Source organism: Homo sapiens, chromosome 6 (genome assembly GCF_000001405.40).
Source record: "Homo sapiens chromosome 6, GRCh38.p14 Primary Assembly".
Taxonomy (NCBI): Eukaryota; Metazoa; Chordata; class Mammalia; order Primates; family Hominidae; genus Homo; species Homo sapiens.
In genome coordinates this window covers 145793493-145815700 of record NC_000006.12, presented here as the reverse complement: position 1 = coordinate 145815700, position 22208 = coordinate 145793493, and the positions used below count along the sequence as shown (strand labels likewise).

Below are 22208 nucleotides of genomic sequence, written 5' to 3'. Positions count from 1 at the left end.
CAGGATTACAACCATCTTTCCTTTGTTGTAATTCTCTTGCGACGGGGTGGGCAGGAGTCCCCGACAGAGGGGTGGGGGCGGGTGAGCGGCTCCCAACACCCAGAGCTCGGAATCACTGTCCCTCGGCCGTAGACCAAGGCTTGGTGGTGGTAGCGGGGGCGTGGACATCCATCCATTCTTTGATACAGCCCTGTGGGATTTCTTTACTCCCCAGTCATATGTAAGGTACACTGCAAAAGCGGCTTCAAGTCCCCTCCCCAGCTAATTACCTTCGCGGAATGACGCCTCGGCCCCTCACAGAAGCAGACCCTGGTGGGCTGTCCCGTCCGGGCTCCAGAGAGGCTCCGCCGCCCGCCGGGATCCAGGGCTGAGCTCTCCCGGGGGGAGGTAAAACCCGACAGGGGATAACGGGTCACAGCACCGTCCTGGCACTAAGTCACGGGACTTGGGCACGCTGAGTTAGCCGGCGGGAAGGCCTGTGGCGGCAATCACCAAAGGTCGAGCAAGGGCGCACCCATTTCCTCCAAAAATGAGCTAAAGGGAAAGCAGTGCCCCAGAGTCAAGGGATCGGGGCTGCTGCTCCTTCGACTAGCGGCGCGAACAAGTCATGCTACTTGGGCCTGTTTCCTCAACTGTAAAATGAGGGGTCTAGGATTCCCTCTGGGAATGTACGATTCTAAAATCGAACAGGGTTTGGTAGCACCGCCGGGGCGGAGCCTTACGGGGCGCCGCGGGAATCCAACGACAGGACTCGCCACAGTGGGAGCTCTCTCCAGACCCTACTCTAGCCACGACGCTGCGGGGTCAGAGGGCGGCGTGCGCGTCCCCGCCGGGACTGCGTGCGCGTCCCCGCCCAGCTGTCGGCAGAAGCCGGGCCGGGTGGGCGGGGCGCAGCGGGGCGGGGCGCGCGAGGAGGGTGGCTGCCTCTGGAGCAGGCCGGGAGAAGAGAAAAGGCGGCGGCCCGGCTGGGGAAGAGGGGCGGAGGAGGCGGTTCGGACGGCTGTGTGGGGTACGGAGCGTCGCCGGGACAGAGCGGAGCAGCTGGGCACGGCGTCCAGGGCAGCTAGGGCCTGGGCCGCGGTTCGGCCGCGCCGGCCGGTGAGTGACGGGAGGCCCGCAGGGGAGGCCGGCGCCGTCCGCGCTGCGGCGGGGACGAAGGCAGCGGCCGGGCAGTTTGAGGCCGCGGCCGGGACCGAGGCGCTGGCGCTGGCGGCCGTGGGGTTGACGGGCCCGGCCTGGAGCAGAGGAAAGGCGGCTGACCCCGGTCCATGCGCGTCCCGGGTCGGCCGTCCGGGCGCCCTGAGAGGGCGTCCGCCGCGCTCGTGTCCTCGCCGGGCCGCATGCCGGGCCAGCCGTTGAGGTCAGCAAATGGCGACTTAAGCCTCGAGGGCACCGACCTCCGTGTCCCCCCCAGTTTGTGTGTCTTTGTATTGGGAAGGGACGAAGGAGGAGTTAAACTTAGGGAACCCTAAGCTTCTCGTTCCGTCTGGTTTTTAGAAACTTGGGTTATTTGGGGACAAATGGCTTAAAGTAAGACTGGGGAGGCATCATCCACTGTCTGCACGGGATGAGCAAAGTTGGTAACTTTGCCATTCATGGAAGTGAGAGGATCTTAGCCTTAGCCTCGGTCCTTATTAAAGGGGAACTTCCTTATTTTGCAGACCTGAGGTTATTTGTGTTGTTCCAAGACCTGCGCCTTGGAACTCCTTTGCTTGGAAGGGGTTTATAGAGCGCGTGCTGAATTCAAAGTAATCTGCCAGTATGTTTTTAACGGGTATATTTGGGAGTATAGAGGCAAAGAGGCAAAACAGTATGTGTTTACCAATGTCCTAGTACTCCATTTCCCTCTCCCTTTCTCTTGTTTTTCTTATTGAGCCCTGTTGTAAGTCCCAGATAAAAGATGCTTGGGAACGAATTGACCTTTTATTCCATGATTACTTCGTTGACTCTGATCCAAGATGAAGTTATTTATGGGCATTCTGATATCGGTGTAGATTAATTTAAAATCTTTTAATACAAAATCCCAAACTTTTTAAATTTTAATTTCCATTTGCTAAATTTCAATACTGTTTGTTCTTTAGAGACCTATGGAAATTATATTAACAGGTTTTGCATTTGCTCATACTAAGGTTTTCCAAAGCAGTCCAATTGTTGACATGGCAAAAGGAAAAGAGTAGCATAAAATAAACCTTTAGGATTTTTCAGAGGGTTAGATTTCAATATGCGGTTTCCGCTGAATCACTCTTCTTCATGCTTAGTCACTGTTTCTCATCACAAAAGTTTAATTGGGGATAACATGGTGTTTTGCTGACTTTTTAAATTGCCAATTTGTTTTTACCTAGCACTTTAATGCCGTGACGTAACTTTTTTTTTTTTTTTTAATTCTGGAAATGGTGGAGTTTCGTGAATGCTGTAAGAGAACTGAAGTTTCGAATATAGGCAAACTTTAATGTATACCAAGTGTACTAGGTATTTAATTTCAATCCAGTATTTCTCCCGGTCTAGCATTGGGAGACTTCTTCTAAAAAGTGTCCTAATATATCATTAAAAAGCAATATTATATAAGTAATGCTAACGTGTATAGAGAGGTACTTTAAGGTCACCAAAATAGGCATTGGTTAATGCTTACTGTTTGATATAACATGTTTCTAAGATGTGAATATTTTAATGGATAAGCGCTATGCTATTCTGTATGATTTTGGATAAATATTTTAATTCAGTTCCTAAGACTGCTTATTTGATAGAAGGAGTTAGTACATATTATGGAATGTCATTGTATTTGTAGAATTTTTTGACATAAAACAATTGAGTCAAAGGCTGTATAAAATATAAATTCAAATTCAGTGTGATGAAATAGAGGAGATTGGCCTTAGACAAGTTGCTTCTATATTTTAGGTAGCTAGATGTTAGATACAGACAAGCGGATCAGTTAAAACCCAGTCTGTGAAAATCTTTTTTTTAAAGAATGAGTAATGTTATTACTAGGTAGTTCTTCATATGATTGCATTTAATTAATGATCTCATAAAAATAATTACACGTAAAATTTTTGTGTATATAAGTGTGGCTGTTGTGCAAATCGAAGTACATCTGGTTTCTGAGAACTACATGTTTATATCCTATTGGACACACACATAATTGTAAACAATCTTTGTAAAGTTCTAGATTGTTTCCAGAGTAAAGTAATTGCCTCAAGGTCACTAAGCTGAGACTCTTTGGAAGCCCATTCCCTCATGTCATGTTACCTGTTTTAATAAACTGAGTTCTACCGTTTGGGTGGATTATTTTTATCTGAGTATCAACTCAAATAGGTTCTAGTCCGAGTATTAAATATTTATTAATACTATTTCAATTTCCCATGTAAGTCTGTGATTTCATTTACTTATTTAGTGGAGAACGTTGCAAGTAGTTAGATTTCGCTTTGGAATAAGCTACTCATGACCATGACTCTATTTAGAAATGAAAGATATATGTTTTGATATATTTTATCTGGAACAATAAAACATGAAAAAAGTCCATATAATTAGGTCATCCATTTTATAAATAAAAAGAACGAAAGTTTAATAAAAGAATGTACACATTGTAATCCATTTAGCCATTTGGGACTGGAAGCTAGTGCTTTGAGTTGGGAATTTAAGGATAATGCCTTTTTGATTTTGTCTAACCACCGCCCCCCAACCCCACCTCTTTTTAAACAGTAAGATAAGATGCCTAACTAGGGTATAGATTTATTATGATTTTTAAAGCTGAGTGCACCTGATAAACAGATCAGTCACCAGAGGTACTATGCACTAATACCTCTGGACTTTACAAGGGATGAGATTTGCACTGGAAGAGCTTATAACTGATTGCCAAATTTGAAATTTCATTTGTGGACTTAACTTGTAGAAATGGTTAATTAATTGAACAAATCTGTCTATAGTTTTATATCAGCCTTACATTGGAACAGTATATTACTGTTTTAAGTATATTTTATCTAATACCATGTTAATTGTAATACTAAGCTGTAGGCTGATAGCACTTCCTATTTTAAACTTACTTTTCTCACTCTCTACCCTAATCGGGCACCTTTGCATATGCAGACCTTAATCCCTTCCTTTCTTTTTGAACCCAGTGCTTCTATATTCATTATTTTTCCAGTAATTGATCTGCAGGGTTGATGAGGGAATTAAAATAGTGGAAAAATATAAGGTAAATGCTTCCTCCTATGTTTCTCATATTACTATTTAAGATTTTAAAACAGTGGAAGGTTGAAACTGACTTTCTTTGATTTGCTTTTTTTGATAGATGATTCGTCCTACTCCATATATAATGCCTGGAACATATTACTTATGTGCTTAACATGTGTTTGAGCACCATTGACTTTTTATGGCCAATACAATGAAGTAATTTTGATTCAGTTTGATTGATGCCAGATCTGTAAGGTATTTTTATGTGGAATATGTAGTTTTCTGTGAAATGAAGAATCTCATTTGTCCATTTCATTATTTTCTTATATTATAATTCTTCGTATATTTAATACAAATGAGTCTCTAATTGAGGCAGAATTTTGAATGTAGGGAACATAAGAATGAATGAGACTGAGATGATTCTGACTTTCATGGAGCTTATAGCTTTCCTGTGGAAATAGATATTATACAGAATGATGACTTACTTAGAGTTGTCACTAGTATTACCAAGGAAAAAGACAGTATGTAATGAGTACACACAATATGGGATCCATTACCTTGTCTTTGGAGTATGTGGAAAAGTAACAGGTAAGCCAAGACTTAGGGTTGAGGCAGCAGGGGCGTGTGGGGAGGAAAAGGGATGTGTGTCTGTGTCTGTGTGTTAGAGGTAGAGGCAGACATTAGGAACAGCCTGGAGGCAGCAGGTTATTTTGAATACATTAGATGACTCTTATATTTTAAAATCATGCTAATTTGCACTTCTTTATATTTACTTACCTCCTTATGTATTTTAATGAATTTTTTAAAAATGCTTTTTTGAGGGCAATATATTTATGCCTTTAATGACAAGATCTCATTTCATTATATGGGAAAATGCCATGTCTTAGAACTATTTTAATGAATTGCTTGTCAGCCACAGAGTATGAGTTGGCAAAGAACTTCTCTCAGAGAAAATTGAAAGAATTGAAAACATTTGATGATTTACTAATATTTTCTGGTCCAGCGAAACTTTTCCAACAATTTAAATTCAAATATAAATTATTAGAGATGTTAGTTGTTTTCTACTGTGCCTACTGTGTCACTGTTAACTGATAAATAAGAGATTGATGTTTTTAAACCTGTTTTACAGGATTTACAAGCAATTGCAAAATACTTTATAAAGGCATGTTTAATTTGATAGTAGTGGTCTTGATTAGGAAGAGGATGAATCTAGGAGAGTTTTAAATTCTGAAGCTGAGGATTCTATTCCCAGAATACTCTTGAGTATTGACTACTATATTTTCTTAACTTTTTTCTTAATATAGTTAATAGGAAAATGGAATTGAAATTCACTCCTCATTTGTATGGCTATTTTAATAATTGTTAAATTTAGTAATATAATGTTCCATACACTTATACTGAGCATTATCTATGTAAATTATTCTTCAAATAATTTAAAACATATATATTCAAAGCAGAGTAAAATGCTATTATAATTGGAAGGGACCAAAAGACTTTCTTGACCACAGGAGTGATTAAGTGTTGGGATAAACTACAAGCAAAGTTGTGTAATCTCCATTCTTCACATAACATCTTAACATTGGATCACCAGTTACAGAAGTGCTGCCTAAGTTTTTTAAACTTTTATAAGTAAACATACCTGTTATTGTCCATGGATGTTGATCAGACGTGGAGCTAGAACATACAGTCCTAGCTCTGCCACTTACTAGGTAGATGACCTTGGGCAGATCACTTGCTCTTTCTGAACCTCAGTTTCCTCCAGGTTGTTATAAAGATGTGTAAAGAAGGATAAAATAGGTACATAATTACTGTTCTCTCTTCCTTCTAAGTCTACTTCAGAAAATAATAAATGTTATGAACTTGTTGCTATGGATGCTTTTTTGAAACCTTATTCAAAGGGGGATGGGTAGTGTAAAAGAGACTATTTGTTTGAAGCTTGACTACTTTCCTTCTACCTTTGAAAATTATTGCTGTTTTTGCTTTTAACTCAGACCCTGTTGCAAGCAGTTGCTATTTTAAGCACTTTTGAATTAAGTGATGTTTTTAAGATATGTTTTGCCTGGTGATGTCATGTGATGGTGTGTACAGTAACATAAAGTGTCCCTAAAACTTCTGAGAGCACTGGTTACTTCTGGTGAAACTGCTTGTATTTTTAGGTTTCTCCCTTAGTAACAGTCAAGCTTGTAACCTTCAGCATGTGAGATCAACTCAGTCTAGTTCCTGCAAAATAAGAAAGCTACAGCTGTTTTCACAGTCTAATCACTCAGTAAGATTTGTCATAATTCTTAATAAAGTTTTTCTTTAAATGTCTGGTTAATTTACAAATGTTTGTTATTAGTCTTTTATTTCTATATGACTATTTTAGTATGTCTATTTATATATTTCTATACTTATGTCTAAAATTCATGAAGATAAACATTTAAAAGTATTCAACTCATAATTTGTAGTTTTTAACACAATTAAAAAATATAGGTTTGGCGTTGAATATATACCTTGTCTTTTCTTTGACATCATTGAACACCATAATATCAACTCGGAACTTTTCTACTGAATCAAGAAAAGCTCTGTTGATGATGATTCAGGTACACTTTTGTTATTTTAGTTTGAGAAAACTCATACCTCAACTGGAGAAAAAGATAATAGCAATTGAGGAGTGATTAATTAGTTACCTGGAGCCAAGATAGATTTTATGGAAAAATATGTCAGAGAGTTAATAATCTCTTACGCACTGAGGTGAAGAAAACAGGATAAGAATCACCTTCCTATCCAGAAAATTCTTGTCTACTACAATGTAATTTAATTTTGGAAATGTTGAACTGAGTTGCCTGTGCCATATACAAGTAGAAATATATCATAAGTAATCCATTGTAGAGAGTGAAGAGGAGTTTGAAAGAGGAATCTGGGCAGCATGTATAGACGGATTTTCAGCTTATGTATGGTAATTGAAACTTTTGGAGAAAATGAGAGCACCCAGGGAGAATGTACAGAATAAGCAAAAAATGACACAAGCCCTGAAGAAATGCAATATTTAAATAATTATTATTGAGTAATAGTTAAGAAGACTAAGGGTAGGAGAAAGACTGGAGTGACATCATGAAAAGTAAGAGGATGTAATAGTCCTAAAATAAGGGATTAGTCATCATCAGGATACAATGGCCAAGGAAGATGGGGTCTAGAAAAATATGCCTCCAGATTTAGTATTGAGGTTCTCAGCAGAGCAGTTTTAATAGGGGTAGTAAAAATGGGGCCAGAATAGAGAGTTAAAGAATATATAGGAAATTAGACGTTTTTTTTTGGTGGTTTTCAGTTTTTCTTTTGAAAGTTTGACTGGATAAGAAAAAAAAAATGGTGGTAAAGGGGGGATATTATGTTATTATTTCAATTATTATTATTATTTTTTGAGACAGAGCCTCACTCTGTCACCCAGGCTGGAATGCAGGGGTGCACAGTCATGGCTTACTGCAGCCTCAATCTCCTGGGCTCATTTGAGCCTCCTGCCTTGGCCTCCCAAGTAGTTGGGACTACAGGTGCATGTCACTATGCCTGGCTAATTTTTTTGTTTTTATTTTGTAGAGACAGGGTCTTGCTATGTTGTCCAGGCTGGTCTTGAACTCCAGGCCTCAAATGACCCTCCTATGTTGGCCTCCCAAAGTGCTGGGATTACAGGTTTGAGCCACCGTGACTATTATTTTAGTTTTTAAAGGTTAAATAATCTTTTAAAGTTTTTATTGCTAATAGGAAACACACCAGTAAAGAAGTTGATTATACTAAAAATACATTGAATAGGCTCAATAATTATAATTAAGTCAATATATTATGGTTAGACTTTTATTTTTCATATAAAACTTTTCTTTATAAAGGTTATGATGGAAATTTTAAAGCAGGGAAGACCATTAGACATCTATAATCCATTCATGTTATTTTATAGAACTATTTCTCTGCTTAAAATTCTCAGTGACTTCCAGTTGTAAAAGTGTGAACTCTTTGGAGCAGCATAAAGCACTCATCATGATTTGCCTTATTCCTTTCTGACCTCATCTCTTACAGATACCTGGCATTTTCCCCTGTGATCCAACAATACTAGGGAACTTGAGGTTTTGCTAATTCATGCTTTTCTGTATTTGCATATGCTATTACTTCTGCATTGAATGCCTCTCTTTCTTACCAGTTTACCGTCCCATACTTAAGACTTCTCTTTCAAGACTACTGTGATTTATTCTCTAATCCCTACTCATATTGATTATTATCTTCTCTATTGGTACCATTTTACTTCTGTCAAATTGACCACATAAAAACGAGATACACTTTTTACTGTCTTTGACATCCTGCTGTAGCTTTTTGAGAGGAGGCACTGTGACTTGCTAATCTTTATATTGCCACACCAAACACAGTGCATGGTCCATGATAGTTAAACAATAAATAGGCATTTAATGAATGAATGTGGCCCTCAAAAGTAAGTTATTTGCCCACAGCCACAGAGCTTGAGCTTGAACTTTTATTTTCTGGATAAATTCCTTGTATGTTCTAATTAAGACTTACTTAATTTGTGGCAGAATTTATTAAGGCATATATAGAAGGAGAGATCAATAGATGAAATCTTAAATGAATTCATTTAGAAGGAATAAAAAAAGACTTCTAAGAAAGTTTTAAATATATTCATGAAATTCATATTGTTCTTTTAGTAATACAAGATCTCTGAAATGTGGGGTACAATCAAAATCAGTTTAGTTGAAATTAGAAAGGTAAAAGTGAAAAACACTCTGAAATCTAAAATACACATTAACTTGTTTTTAACATTAAATAATACACAGTATTAGAATTTAAATAGTATATTTTGAAACTTTTGCCCTTTTAGGCATATTGTTATATAGTATATAAAAATGAACCGTTATGACATTCTACAGTATTGAATTGTTACTAGAATGTAAGTGCTTACATCCTTTCAAGACATTGATTATATGTAAAATTAACTGGTTAAGTATGTTTATTTTATATATGTCATCCTAAAATAAACCAAGATATTAGATAAATTAGTGATTTAATTATTAAACAATTTTGAAAAATCAACCATTTTTTGGCTAATTTCTTATCTTTTTCCATTTCATCAACCAGAGCTGGACTGGCCATTATGGAGGAGGAGCTGCAGCATTCCCATTGTGTGAATTGTGTCAGTAGACGGTGCATGACCAGGCCAGAGCCAGGGATTTCCTGTGATTTGATTGGTTGTCCATTGGTTTGTGGTGCAGTTTTCCATTCTTGTAAAGCTGATGAGCATCGACTTTTATGTCCATTTGAACGAGTGCCTTGCTTAAATAGTGACTTTGGATGTCCATTTACCATGGCCCGAAATAAAGTTGCTGAACATCTAGAAATGTGTCCTGCAAGTGTGGTGTGCTGTACTATGGAATGGAATCGATGGCCAGTTAGTTATGCAGACCGGAAATCATATGAAAATCTAAGCAGAGATGTCGATGAAGTGGCACAATTGGATATGGCCTTGGCTCTTCAAGACCAAAGGATGCTCTTAGAATCCCTCAAAGTAGCCACCATGATGTCAAAAGCAACTGATAAAGTATCCAAACCTAGAGAACAAATCTCAGTTAAATCAAGTGTCCCAGAAATACCACATGCTAATGGTTTAGTGTCTGTTGATGAAGAATCTTATGGTGCACTTTATCAAGCTACTGTAGAAACAACCAGAAGTTTGGCTGCTGCTTTGGATATCCTGAATACTGCTACAAGAGACATTGGCATGTTAAATACAAGTGTCCCAAATGACATGGATGAACAGCAAAATGCGAGAGAAAGCTTAGAGGATCAAAACTTGAAAGACCAAGATCATCTTTATGAGGAGGAAATAGGAGCAGTAGGTGGAATTGACTACAATGACACAAATCAGAATGCCCAGTCTGAACAAAATGGTTCAAGTGATTTATTATGTGACTTGAATACAAGTTCTTATGACACTTCTGCTCTTTGTAATGGCTTTCCTTTGGAAAATATATGTACCCAGGTCATAGACCAGAATCAGAATTTACATGGTGATTCAAAACAAAGTAACTTAACAAATGGAGACTGTGTGGCATCATCAGATGGCACTTCAAAACCTTCCAGCTCACTTGCGGTGGCAGCACAACTTAGGGAAATAATACCATCCAGTGCTTTGCCTAATGGCACAGTTCAGCATATCCTCATGCCAGATGATGAAGGTGAAGGTGAATTGTGTTGGAAAAAAGTAGACTTAGGGGACGTGAAGAATGTGGATGTCTTATCTTTCAGTCATGCTCCTTCATTCAATTTTCTTTCTAATTCATGTTGGTCTAAACCAAAGGAAGATAAAGCAGTAGATACATCAGATTTGGAAGTTGCAGAAGATCCTATGGGCCTCCAAGGAATAGATCTGATCACAGCAGCATTGCTTTTTTGTCTAGGAGATTCTCCAGGAGGGAGGGGTATATCTGATAGCCGCATGGCTGATATTTATCACATTGACGTTGGGACTCAGACTTTTTCACTTCCATCTGCAATATTAGCTACAAGTACAATGGTTGGGGAGATAGCTTCAGCTTCAGCTTGTGATCATGCCAATCCACAGCTTTCAAATCCAAGTCCGTTTCAGACACTTGGGCTGGATTTAGTATTGGAATGTGTCGCTAGGTACCAACCCAAGCAGCGTTCAATGTTTACCTTTGTGTGTGGACAGTTATTTAGAAGGAAAGAATTTTCTTCCCACTTTAAGAATGTGCATGGTGACATTCATGCTGGACTCAATGGCTGGATGGAACAGAGGTGCCCTTTAGCTTACTATGGTTGTACCTATTCTCAGCGTAGATTTTGTCCATCAATACAAGGAGCAAAGATTATACATGACCGCCATTTGAGGTCATTTGGAGTTCAGCCATGTGTATCTACAGTATTAGTGGAGCCTGCTAGAAACTGTGTGTTGGGATTACATAATGACCATCTAAGTAGTCTTCCTTTTGAGGTCCTGCAGCATATTGCAGGCTTTCTCGATGGCTTCAGCTTATGTCAGCTCTCATGTGTATCCAAGTTAATGAGGGATGTGTGTGGCAGCCTGCTTCAGTCTCGTGGCATGGTCATACTGCAGTGGGGGAAAAGGAAGTATCCAGAAGGAAATTCATCATGGCAGATAAAAGAAAAGGTTAGTGTAATCTTTACAACCTCTTATTTGACATAAAGAGGACTTTAATAATACTGCTGAATTAATACAATTAATATCTTGTTGAGAAATTGACCATTCCCTAAAACTTACTAAATCAGTGTGATGACAGACTTTTTCTTAATGGTAATTAATAATGAACTAGGATAGTTAGAATTGTTTGCCATAATTGTAGGTTTACTACTGATTTCCTAGAACTAGATTATAATCTAATATGGCAGAGACCACTTACGTTTCTCAATTTTTCTATAACAACTCTCTTTGTTTGGGTCCATGTTACCATCTTCTAATTTGGACTCCATCTGAAAAATGTGCACCATAAGATAATGGAGGAAGCAAGAAGAGGGTTTTTTTCCTGCTTGTAATTGTCTCTCCATTCTATGGCAATTTTGTTCCTACGATTTGGTTGTTTCAGGTACAACCTAAATAGCAAGAGATGAGAATAAGTTACAACTACTACTGTGGTCATATATTAAAGTGACCAGAGGAGTATATGATATGGGGAATAAGGAACATAAATGGATGAATGAGGAGATGCTTTAGGCCGCTGTGAGAACAGAGTAGGGCAGTAGGATTTGATATTTTGGGTGGGGACTCTGGGTTTAGTAGAGTCCAAAGGAGTGATGCATATTGTGTTGGAAACTTGAGCTGGAGATTTAGGCAGACCTAAGCAAATCCAAGCTACACCATTTTCCTTCTGTGATACCCTACTTTTGCTCAGCTTCTATTTGGCACTACTCAGTAGGAACTGGAAGGCATTACAGATATCTTTGATTGAAGGTTTTTTTATTTTTGAACACTTATAATATGAAACTTTTACATTTTCTAAAGTGGAAACAATTGTGATAAACTTTACATTTAGTTGCACAGCATTCAAACTCTGGTTACTTTATTCGTAGCACCTTTAGGTTTTCTTGCATTCATTGCACTGATTTTTCAGAATACTACATCCACTTGGTTTCCCTGAGGCCTTGACCGATAAATGATCACACAAATTGTTTCACGATTTTTTTTTCCAAAAGGGAATTTCTGATGGCAGAAAGTTTCTACTGCTTGTGTTTGTGTGTATTTTTGTTTTCCATATGATTTTGTATCTTTTCTTCCCTTTGGGATGGGACAGTCTTAGTATGGCCTCTTTTTATCTTTGCCTACTAGTATTGACATATGGAGTGAAATTTTTGGGGGGATTCTATAATCATTCCTGCAGAAAATCTCACCTACTCTTCAAATTTAACTCGCCATCATTTATATAGATTACTCACACATCTGTATCCTAGCCATTTGCTCCACTGAACTCCCAACCACTATATACAAGCATCTACTGGACATTTCCACTTGATTATCCTATAGCTTTCTCAAACTCAACATATCCAACCTACTCCAGTCCTCCCCCTCTTAGTCTGAGAAAGTGGCACCATCATCACCAAGTTTCCTAAACCAGGAATTTAGGAGTTATGTTGGCTGCTTTTTCTCCCCCCTTTATTTTTATTCAGATAATCATGAAGTCCTGAAACCTCTCAGGTTTGCTTTTCTGTTTCCACTGCCATTTCCCAAGTTCAGTCCCAACTGTAGTTGTCTCCTGGACTACAACAACAGCTTCCTTCTAACTGGGTTCCTACTTCCATTTGGGCCCTTCTCCAATATATTCTCTACACAAGAGCTAATGTGATACATATTTTCTTAAATACAATTCTTACACTGTCACCACAGTGCTTAAAAACTTCCTTAATATTTGTTCATCACCCCTGGATAGAGCCCAGCTCCTTAATAAAACATTTGAGACTTTTCATAATCTCATCTTTATCTTTTCACTTTCCTCCTATCATTTTATACTGTAACCGCATTGATTTACTTACAGTTCCCTGATGTTTTTTCTTGCGTTAAGTCTTTAAAATATGCCATCCCTAATTCTCACACTTGAGCACCTGCAATATGCTACTCAGTGTGCATTAGCACTTTGCTTGTATGAACTTATATAATCCACTGTACCCATTTTACAGACAAAGAAACAGAGGTTAATTAAGCTGGCCAACTAATTGACTTAGGAAGCCGGTTTCTCGATCTTGTGATCTTCATCTTTCTTGCTATGTCCCGCTTACTCTTCAGGTTTTACCTCCTGAAGATAGCTTCTTGGGACCCATAACCTGACAAGTTGTTGCACTGCTTTGTGTTCCTGTGGTGATAAACCTCTACTAAAGCACTCACTGAACTGTTTTGAAATTGATTGATCAATTGTCAGTTTCAGTCACTAGACTGTAAATTCCTTGAGAAGTGGGACTCTCAGGGAACCAAAATACTGCCTTGCATAGTACCTACTATGTAGTAGGCACTGAGTAAATATTTGATGCATACTTGAGTGAAAGATGGATCCATTACTAAGAAACCTTGTCATCAGCAGGTGGGAGTCATACATTTTCTTTTGCCTGCTTTTCCTGAGTTTGTTTCACCAGACTCTCAGTTGTATGGAAGTAGAGAGACTGCCTGTCTCCATTGAATCTTTCAGCTAATTCACCTGCCCAAGCTTAAAGAAAACTCCTAATTCCTTTTGTAGCTTTGTGAGCATGGGGAATGGTAAGGGAGGCTAGTGACATCTATACTATCACTAGGCCTTCACTGACTCCTGGAAAATCACTCCATAAAGGGTAATTGATCATAATCCTAAGGAGTATAGGGGGTACCGTTGTGCTGAACAATGGGGACTTTCTATTGCTAGTTGACAAATAATTGTTTTCCCACATCTAGCCACCCTGAGAAGACATTACCATGCTTTCCTGAGAAGCAATAAATGCTGAGGGTTTTTCTTAAATCTGCCACTTTCTAAAGCAGGGGTGTCCAATCTCTTGGCTTCCCTGGGCCACATTGGTAGAAAAAGAATTGTCTTGGGCCACACATAAAATACACTAACGATAACTGATGAGCTAAAAAACACACACACACACGCACACATACACACACACACACACAAAATCTCATAACGTTTTAAGAAAGTTGACGAATTTGTGTTGGACTGCATTCAGAGCCGTCCTGGGCCACATGCTGCCTACGGGCCCCAGGTTAGACAAGCTTGTTCTAAAGCATCTGCAGTTCAACGTGTGTAAATTGTTCCCTAATTAGACATTTGCCTGTTGATAAACTTAGCAGGCATGGCTAGGCCTGTCCTACCCCATTCATGCTTGTTATCTAGGTCTGTCCTGCTCTGCATTCATGCTTGTTACTTATGTTCAGGTAGCTTTATGTTTCATTTGTAAAGATGAGGGGCTTGGGGCACAGTCTTTTGCTGGACTAATAATTTGACAGTGCTTCAGGGCTTAGAGCAGTTGGGTGGACAAAAAGGGAAGTAGCTAATATTTTTACCTACAGACATGAATAGGGATGGCAGGTAAGTATTTTGCCTAGAAACATGTTTTACAATGATATGGACTAAAATAGGATCCACTTTACAAATATTATTTTTATATAAAATTTCAGAGCCATTTTGAACAAATTGAAGTACTTGAATATCACTAAGTACCTTTAGTACTTGTGAACAGCGGAAAAAGAAACTTACCTTGGCACACAATATTCTAGGGTATTTTTTAGTACTGATATTATAAATAGGAATGGGAGAGAAAAACTTGGAGAAAAAAAATAACACTTGCATTGTCAGTATCTCCAGAGTGTAATTAGTTCTAGATAGCCAATTGGAGAGTATGAAAGAATAGTGTGTAGTATATAATATTTTAGGAAATGGCTCTGAATTTGTGCAGTTTTGATTTTTTAAAAATCATTTAGTAAGCCAGATTGGGTGTGATTTTTAATACTGAGTTTTGTCTTTTATTGTTTTTAGATTTATTGAAGTCATAATGTCATAGAAGTGATTTACCTTGTAAATATTTGACATACATTTATGTCCAAAAGGATTTACCAATTTTTAATTTTATAGCTATTTGAAACTTTATATTGGATGCTTCTATAATAGCAGAAATGTATGCAGTAGGAGCAAAAAGTGTGTTTTGATTCTCTACACATTGACTTGTTTAAATCTAAAGTAGAATTTTCTTGTAGGTATGGCGATTTAGTACTGCATTTTGTTCTGTTAATGAATGGAAATTTGCTGACATCCTAAGCATGGCAGACCACTTGAAGAAATGCAGTTACAATGTTGTCGAGAAACGGGAGGAAGCAATCCCTTTGCCATGTATGTGTGTGACACGAGAACTCACTAAAGAAGGACGTTCACTACGCTCAGTTTTAAAACCTGTACTTTAAAAGTTGTAATATTACTAGCACATATATGCAAGCACCTAGTATAATTTCTTTGTAATATGTGAAACTTTATTAATGTATTAAATATTACAACTAGCTAAATTTATTGTCACTGTGTATATAATGTTTTGAAGTGACATCTATTTTTATAAAGTACTGTTTAGTTGGAAAAAGTTGCCTTAATGTTTGAAATGTGTGAAATTTTTGGAACTTGCTGGACAGGGTGATTTAATTTTTAGCTACATAATTTTAAGAATTAGTATTTTCAGTGGTGTGCATATTTTGGTTCTTAAATTTTTGCTTCTTAAACTAAAAAAATCCTGACCAATTTATTTGTTGTTTTCTGTGGGTTGCGACCCATGCAATCAAAAAGCAAAATTTTGATTGAGATTTTTTACAGCATAGGTTTTTCATATAAAAATATTCTGAATTTGTTAAGCACTGCCATAATATCATTATAATGTTTTTGTCTTTTAGTGCTTCCCTATACAATTGTTAATGCACAAATGATCTCTAATATATACTTACATACGTAAAATCATAAAGTTTGGTAATGCAGTTTATCGTTTTAAAAATAATCCACAAAGATGTTTTTATCTCACATACTTACAACTCAACACACAGAGTGACCATGTGCAGCTTTCTTTTTTGTTAGATGCCACATCCGAAGACTCATCGCAGTGTGTTATATGACAGGACAAAGCAAAAACAAACAAAAAGCAAGCCTGTGAATATAATTTAATTTGAAACTGCTCCTGGTATTATATATTTGCTAGTTATCTAATGTTTTAAAAGAAAATATACCTCATTTAGGTTTGAATTGGGCGTATTGTGTAAATTTCAAATATTCAGAATGCAAAGGGCTTGACTATTAAATGTTTGCCTTTGATGTTTATAAACATTACAACTATGTTGTTTTAAGACATTTAAAAACGTGAAATTTGTTATCTTTGTAAAATGACAATCATGTAGAAACCTGTCTTGGTTGACAATCTCTTTGAAACATTTCCGAGTTAATTTCCCATAGGCTTCACCACCAAGAAAGTAAGAATTGCATCTTTACATAATGATCAAGGTATAATGGAAAAATATACCTATTCTTGAAGTAGTTTATTATAGTTTTCAAATTGATTTATACCATTATTAACCTGATGTGGTCTGCTTAAAAAATGAATATATCAGTATTTAGAAATAAATTGCAAAGGTGGGAATATATACTTAAATAATTTGTCTTAAGTAAATTAGCATTTGGTAGTCTGAAATGGTGACAGATTACTTGTTAAAATTGTGAAAACTCTGTTGTGTCCTCTCTTCCTACATTTGTCCCTGAGAGTACTCCACGATTACTAGGTTCTTGATTCCCTTATATGGCAATCAGGCAGAGGCGTTCCTTAAGCATTAGAGAGTTCTGAAGCTTAAGATTTGTTTTGGTTGGATGAAGTCCTTAGTACAGTTGAAAAACAGAGCATTAAAGACTAATCAATTGTTTTGCCTCACCAGTCATTTTAAATAGTAGAATACTTATTTCTCAGTGCTTAAAATTTCTTTTTCAACTGTGAGATTGAATAAACAGTCTCTATTTCTGTGGAAAAAACAACAGAAAAGAGATATTAAATACCATAAAATGTAACTCTGCCTTTTAAAGTTTTGCTGAAGAATGTGTCTGTGGTTAGGATAGCACAAGCATTAACTTTTGTTTTATAGTTATGCTTTTTAAAATTCATTGTTTTTAAATTTAGACTTCTTATTTCCACACTGGATTATGAGATACTTAACAATTTTTCCACCTTATATTTCTTTTACACATTTTGCTGTTCTCTTTTTTGTTATTGTTATGCCACCATACCATTTTGTTAAAATGTTTTCTTTGTGAAACATTTGTTCAAGTTCTAATAAAATTAATGTTTTCCCTTAACATGGCTCAATAACTTAAAAACGTTCATTTAAATAAAATTTTAATACTTGTTTGACAAATTCCAACACAATCATATTGTTTCTGTAATGTGGATTTTCTGCATGTTATGGTAGTTGTTGATTATCATCATTACTCACCCATGTTTTACTAGTGAACCTTAATTTTTTTAAAATTTGAGACACGCATTAGTTAGCTTTCTCTGATCCTTCAGTGTCTCGAAAGTAATACCACCTAGGTGCACTGAAAGGCGGAAGAGTTTCTAGCATGGTTATAGCTCTAAAAGTTGTCATGGAAACCATCTCTCTCTCCTCTTAAGTATGAAAAGGTTTTTATGTTGGCCTAATAGATTGTACTTTGAGAAGTCATCATTGATTCCTTAGTCTTTGCTAAATAGCAAGGTAAAAGGCAAGCATCGGGATGGAGGGAAGTATTTGAATTCACTTTTGTCCTCTGCCTCCTTCCTCAATACTGCCTGTTAGCTTAATCTTTCTCCCTCTCCCTTTCCCTTCTCCCTCTCTCACTCTTTTTTCTAGATTTTGAGACTCACAGATCTTACAGCAGTGGTTCCTAAAGTGTGGTCCTTGGACCAGCAGGAACATCAACACCTAGGAATTTGTTAGAAATGCAGATTATTAGGCTTCTCTCCAGACTTAGTGAATCAGGAACTCTGGGGTGGGACCCAACAATCTGTTTTAACAAGATCTCTAGGTGATTCTAACGCACAGTAAAGTATTAGAACTTAGAGGGAAGACTGGGTCATGCCAGCTACCCTCTGGTGCATTACTGGAGTGGATATATGTGTGTACCTGTGTGTGTTTGTATAAATATATGTGTAATCCAAAAGTCAGTAATGGTAATTTATTAATGGTTAAACTATATATGTTGTCTCAATTTTACAGCCATATGACAAAATACACTGGGTACTGTAGTTGTTGGACTTGTATTCTTTAAATTAGTATTTACTAGTATTTAAAATTTTACTAAAATTTTACTAGTGTTTCTTCTGTTCAAGGTAAATTGCAGTGCAAATTTTAGTTCATTAGCAGTAACATTTAGCCTAGTCATCTCATTCTCTTGTTTAGTGGTTGTAGAGTCGTGAACATATTCAAATTGTAGGGTAATCAAAGAGTAGAAGTAGACAAATATTGGATTAAATCCTACAAAAAATATTTTTAGGGATCTTTTCAACCCTATCAATAAGATGTTATGAAAGATTGGATCTCTTGTTTACAAGTAGTATAGAATCTTTTTTGATCTTTGACTCTGTGCTGCCTATCTCATCAATGTTGTTGCTATTAATATCTGTCCTTTAACACTGGATGTTGGGATCTTAGTAATGTTGCTGATAATAGGATTTTCAGCAAAACTTCCATATCCCTTGAAGATATGGTAGTTTATATTACTATATCGATAACAGTTTTGCCTGTGGAGATTTGACTAGTTTTAGGTGTTTGGAAGCAAAACAGATTTCTTCATGTTTTGCATCCCAACCTGAAAAGACATGGGGTTTATTAATTTTAAAATTTCCTAAGGAAAAGTTATTCAAATATTTTAAAATGTGTTTGTTTCATGCATGACATGCCACATTGGTGATGTGATTGGAGCTTGCAGAGTTGGTTGTTTAGAAGTGCAGTAGAGAGAAAGCAATTGGCCCTCATTCTCTGGACAGACTTTTGATGGAAAGAATTTCTCTGATAGGTGTTTGACTGGTTATCTAAACGTTGCTGTTAAGTAGTCTTACTTAAGATGCTCATAAGGTCTAGGAAGCAGAGAATATTAGTTATACCTTTATCAACTCATCAGTGACTTGTTTGATGGTGTTTAAGATAATTTAATAATGGGGTTTGACAGGATTTGTCTGATTTCCAAAAAAGCAAAGTTCGAATTCAGAAAAGATCAACTCTAATGAAGTCCTTTCTAAATAAGGGAAAAGGAAAGATGGTTTGCTTTTGAAGTCATCTTTTACATAATTATTTCCCTTTATTTAAAAGATTAAAGTGAGATCAAGAGATAAAACCTTTCAAATTTGAATTTTATGGATGAGAAAATAGGTACTCAAAATTTAGGCAGTGATTAGTGTACTGGGATATTTGAGAGAGAATTATGTCCTTACATAGATCACTTTTTCACTTTACGAATGCAGGAAGAAAAGAGATGTTTAGATGTAAGGAAATTTGGAAAATGTTGCCTAGGATATTTGATTCCTACTGCTTTGGAAAGCATTTTGGAGCAATACCAAAAGGAAACTAACTAACCAAGTGTGATATGTTGCTCTGAAAATCTTTGCGAAATGAGGGCCTCTTGCTGAATTTTACAAGTAGGTTATTGCATCTATGATTAAACTTTTTTAAATAAATTGCTTATACATGTTTATTTGACATATATAATCTTCATAATTGGCCAGTACACCTTGAGATGTATTAATGGCGATACATCTTGAGGTGCTTTGTTACCTTAGCACATTTCAAAACTGGCATTTTGTATTCAGATTGTTTTATATTTCAATGTATTATGTGGAGAGTGACTTTTCATTAATAAACTACAAAGAAATGGGTTATAAGGAATATTCATGAACATGCTCTATAGAAATATAATAAAAATTCATTGATGCAAAGTCCTTTTTTAAAAATAATTTTCAATCTTTTTGATAAGCTGGACGGAAGCATCTGTCTTTTACTATGAAGAAAACATTTTTGAAGTGAACTGACAACATAAGGCAAATACTGGGTAAAAATTTAAGCATCTCCAAAATCATTTTATTAACCCATTTGCATGCAAATACTAGGGAATGGTTCTTCAATATGTAGCTAGTTCTTGTGGTGGTTAATAGTTCTTCGTGTATTTGAAAGTAACAAAACTGCATTTGTGTTGAACTCTTAAGACCAATTAATCAGGTCAAATTGCTCTTAAGACCAATAAATTAGGTCAGTTGCTCCTAACAAAGGCAAATTCATCAGATTTAATTTCTACCCTTTTCTAATATAAATTTTTAGAAATTTTGTTTCTCAGATGTGAGGCAAATAGGTTGATCTATTTGTTTATTCTTTGACAGAGAGACTGACTAGAGTTAGACAGCTTTTTAATACCCCTTCCAGTCAAAAAGTAACATTGTTATATTAGTATTTAGTAGTTTTAAAGTCTGATGACATAAGAACAGTAACAATTTGTTAATATTCAAAAGATTGAAATTGAAAAAAAGGGGTCCTGCATTCTGCTGTCCTAGAATTTTTTTTTGTGTTGAAATCTTCTTTTCCATATTGTCATTATTGCTTCTTTATCCCATGACATTAATTTTCTGGTGAGGTGACCCTGAATTTAGTCATTTTCGTCAGTAATTTTAGATTTAAGTAACTTATCATGCTTGTTTTAAAGTCTCTCTCAGCTCACCCGTGAAGAAACAAATTTTTTTTCATTTTTTTCTTCAAAAATCAGCAAGTATTGCTGAATCTAACAAGTATCAGCATTCAGGTTTAACCGTGTTATTTGATTGAAATAAATCAAACCATGGAAATAATGGGCACTGTGTCTGCTCAAGAGTAAAATTACCCAATGAATGATTATGTCAACTGGATGTCTTTTATATCAATTGATGACTTTTTAAAAAATCTGTATTTTAAATAAAATATGGAGAGAACAGTATTGGTCCCTACAACATTCCAATAGCTTTGTCATGACAGCCATGTCATATGAAATAACTTACTCTGAATGGCTAATAATTCAGTGGAGATGAATTCTAAAGATTTTTATTTGCACTTAAAATGTTAAAGTAGTATTGTTCATTTGATCAATGTTTGAATACTACTCAGTATTGAAAACTTTAACTGCATTCTGAAAGGTCATTGCGCCGATTGGCTTACCTAAGATGTCATTTAGCTTCCTTTTCTCATGATTTACATAAATGTTGTTACCTTAAATGCAGAAAGATGTGATATTCTTTGGAGGATAAAAAACCTAAGTGAATGAAGCTAGACACAAAAGGCTACATATTATATGATTTCATTTATATGAAATATGCAGAATAGGTAAATTCATAGAGATAAATCAGATTCATGGTTGCTGGGGGAATGGGAGTGACTGCTTCATGGGTATGGGGTTTTCTTTTGGATTGATGAAAATATTGTAGAACAAGATAGTGGGGATAGTTGCACATTGTGAATGTGCCAAAATGCCAGTGAATTGTATACTTTAAAATGGTGTATTTGATGTGTATTTTATTACAATTAAAAAGAAAAGAATTTGATATTTGCAATCATTACCAAAGCCAAAAACTAGTGTTCTCAACGTTTGTGAAATGCCCAAACCGTGGTTTAGAATTAATTTATAGCATTAGTAACATGACAAATCTATTCAGCTTAAAGTTCTAGTAAAATTTGTGAATCCCATCATAGAAGTACTCCTGACAGCAGCAGAAATAAAGCTGTAATTCATCAAAATTTCCTTATATTTAAAACTTCTGTGACTGAGTGATTGACTTCTGTGTCAATGTTTATTTTTTATCTTTTGAAATTTATTATGATTCCTTGTGGCACATCCCAATCACGCTTTTTAAAGATGTGTTTTTAAAACCATGCTTTGAAAAAAATTTGTATAATTTTCAAGGTTTTTTTTTATAGTTTTATACTTTGTTTCTTTTAAAGAACAAATGCAACTTGTTGTATTAGAGTAAGACTAAATAAATTGTACTGATGTGTACATTTTTAT

At 36.4% G+C, this 22208-nt stretch overlaps 1 protein-coding gene and 1 long non-coding RNA gene across 6 annotated transcripts in view, besides 3 other annotated features; one reads left to right on the top strand and one right to left on the bottom strand.

Annotated features, from left to right (window-relative positions):
• Positions 1–22208, bottom strand: part of EPM2A-DT (EPM2A divergent transcript) — a 151717-nt gene that overhangs the window by 70885 nt on the left and 58624 nt on the right. For 2 of the 3 annotated variants that reach the window (NR_038244.1, NR_038245.1), the window contains exon 1: positions 270–825. The exons of the other annotated variant lie outside the window; for it this stretch is intronic. This is a non-coding gene — a long non-coding RNA (EPM2A divergent transcript). Of the gene's footprint in view, positions 1–269; positions 826–22208 lie in introns of those variants that run through there. 3 annotated transcript variants of the gene reach the window in all.
• Positions 726–1265: a silencer, noted in NCBI's record as "silent region_17643". NCBI's record gives its function as "represses an Ori minimal core promoter by ATAC-STARR-seq in GM12878 lymphoblastoid cells {active_cell/tissue: GM12878}" and the evidence as "EXISTENCE:reporter gene assay evidence [ECO:0000049][PMID:35858748]".
• Positions 726–1497: a biological region, named in NCBI's record as "H3K27ac hESC enhancer GRCh37_chr6:146135340-146135894".
• Positions 906–22199, top strand: FBXO30 (F-box protein 30). Of its 3 annotated transcripts, none has more exons than NM_001348092.2 (3): positions 906–1009; positions 9280–11329; positions 15392–22199. In NM_001348092.2, the coding sequence occupies exons 2-3, from the start codon at positions 9296–9298 to the stop codon at positions 15593–15595; spliced, it is 2238 nt and encodes a 745-aa protein (NP_001335021.1). In that variant the 5' UTR covers positions 906–1009; positions 9280–9295; the 3' UTR covers positions 15596–22199. The 3 variants fall into 3 exon arrangements, with proteins under 3 accessions (NP_001335021.1, NP_115521.3, XP_047275354.1); NM_032145.5 differs by having other exon boundaries at positions 906–1098; XM_047419398.1 differs by having other exon boundaries at positions 906–1360.
• Positions 943–1497: an enhancer, noted in NCBI's record as "H3K27ac hESC enhancer chr6:146135340-146135894 (GRCh37/hg19 assembly coordinates)". NCBI's record gives its function as "activates a minimal SCP1, AML or CMV promoter by ChIP-STARR-seq in primed H9 embryonic stem cells {active_cell/tissue: H9 hESC(primed)}" and the evidence as "EXISTENCE:reporter gene assay evidence [ECO:0000049][PMID:30033119]".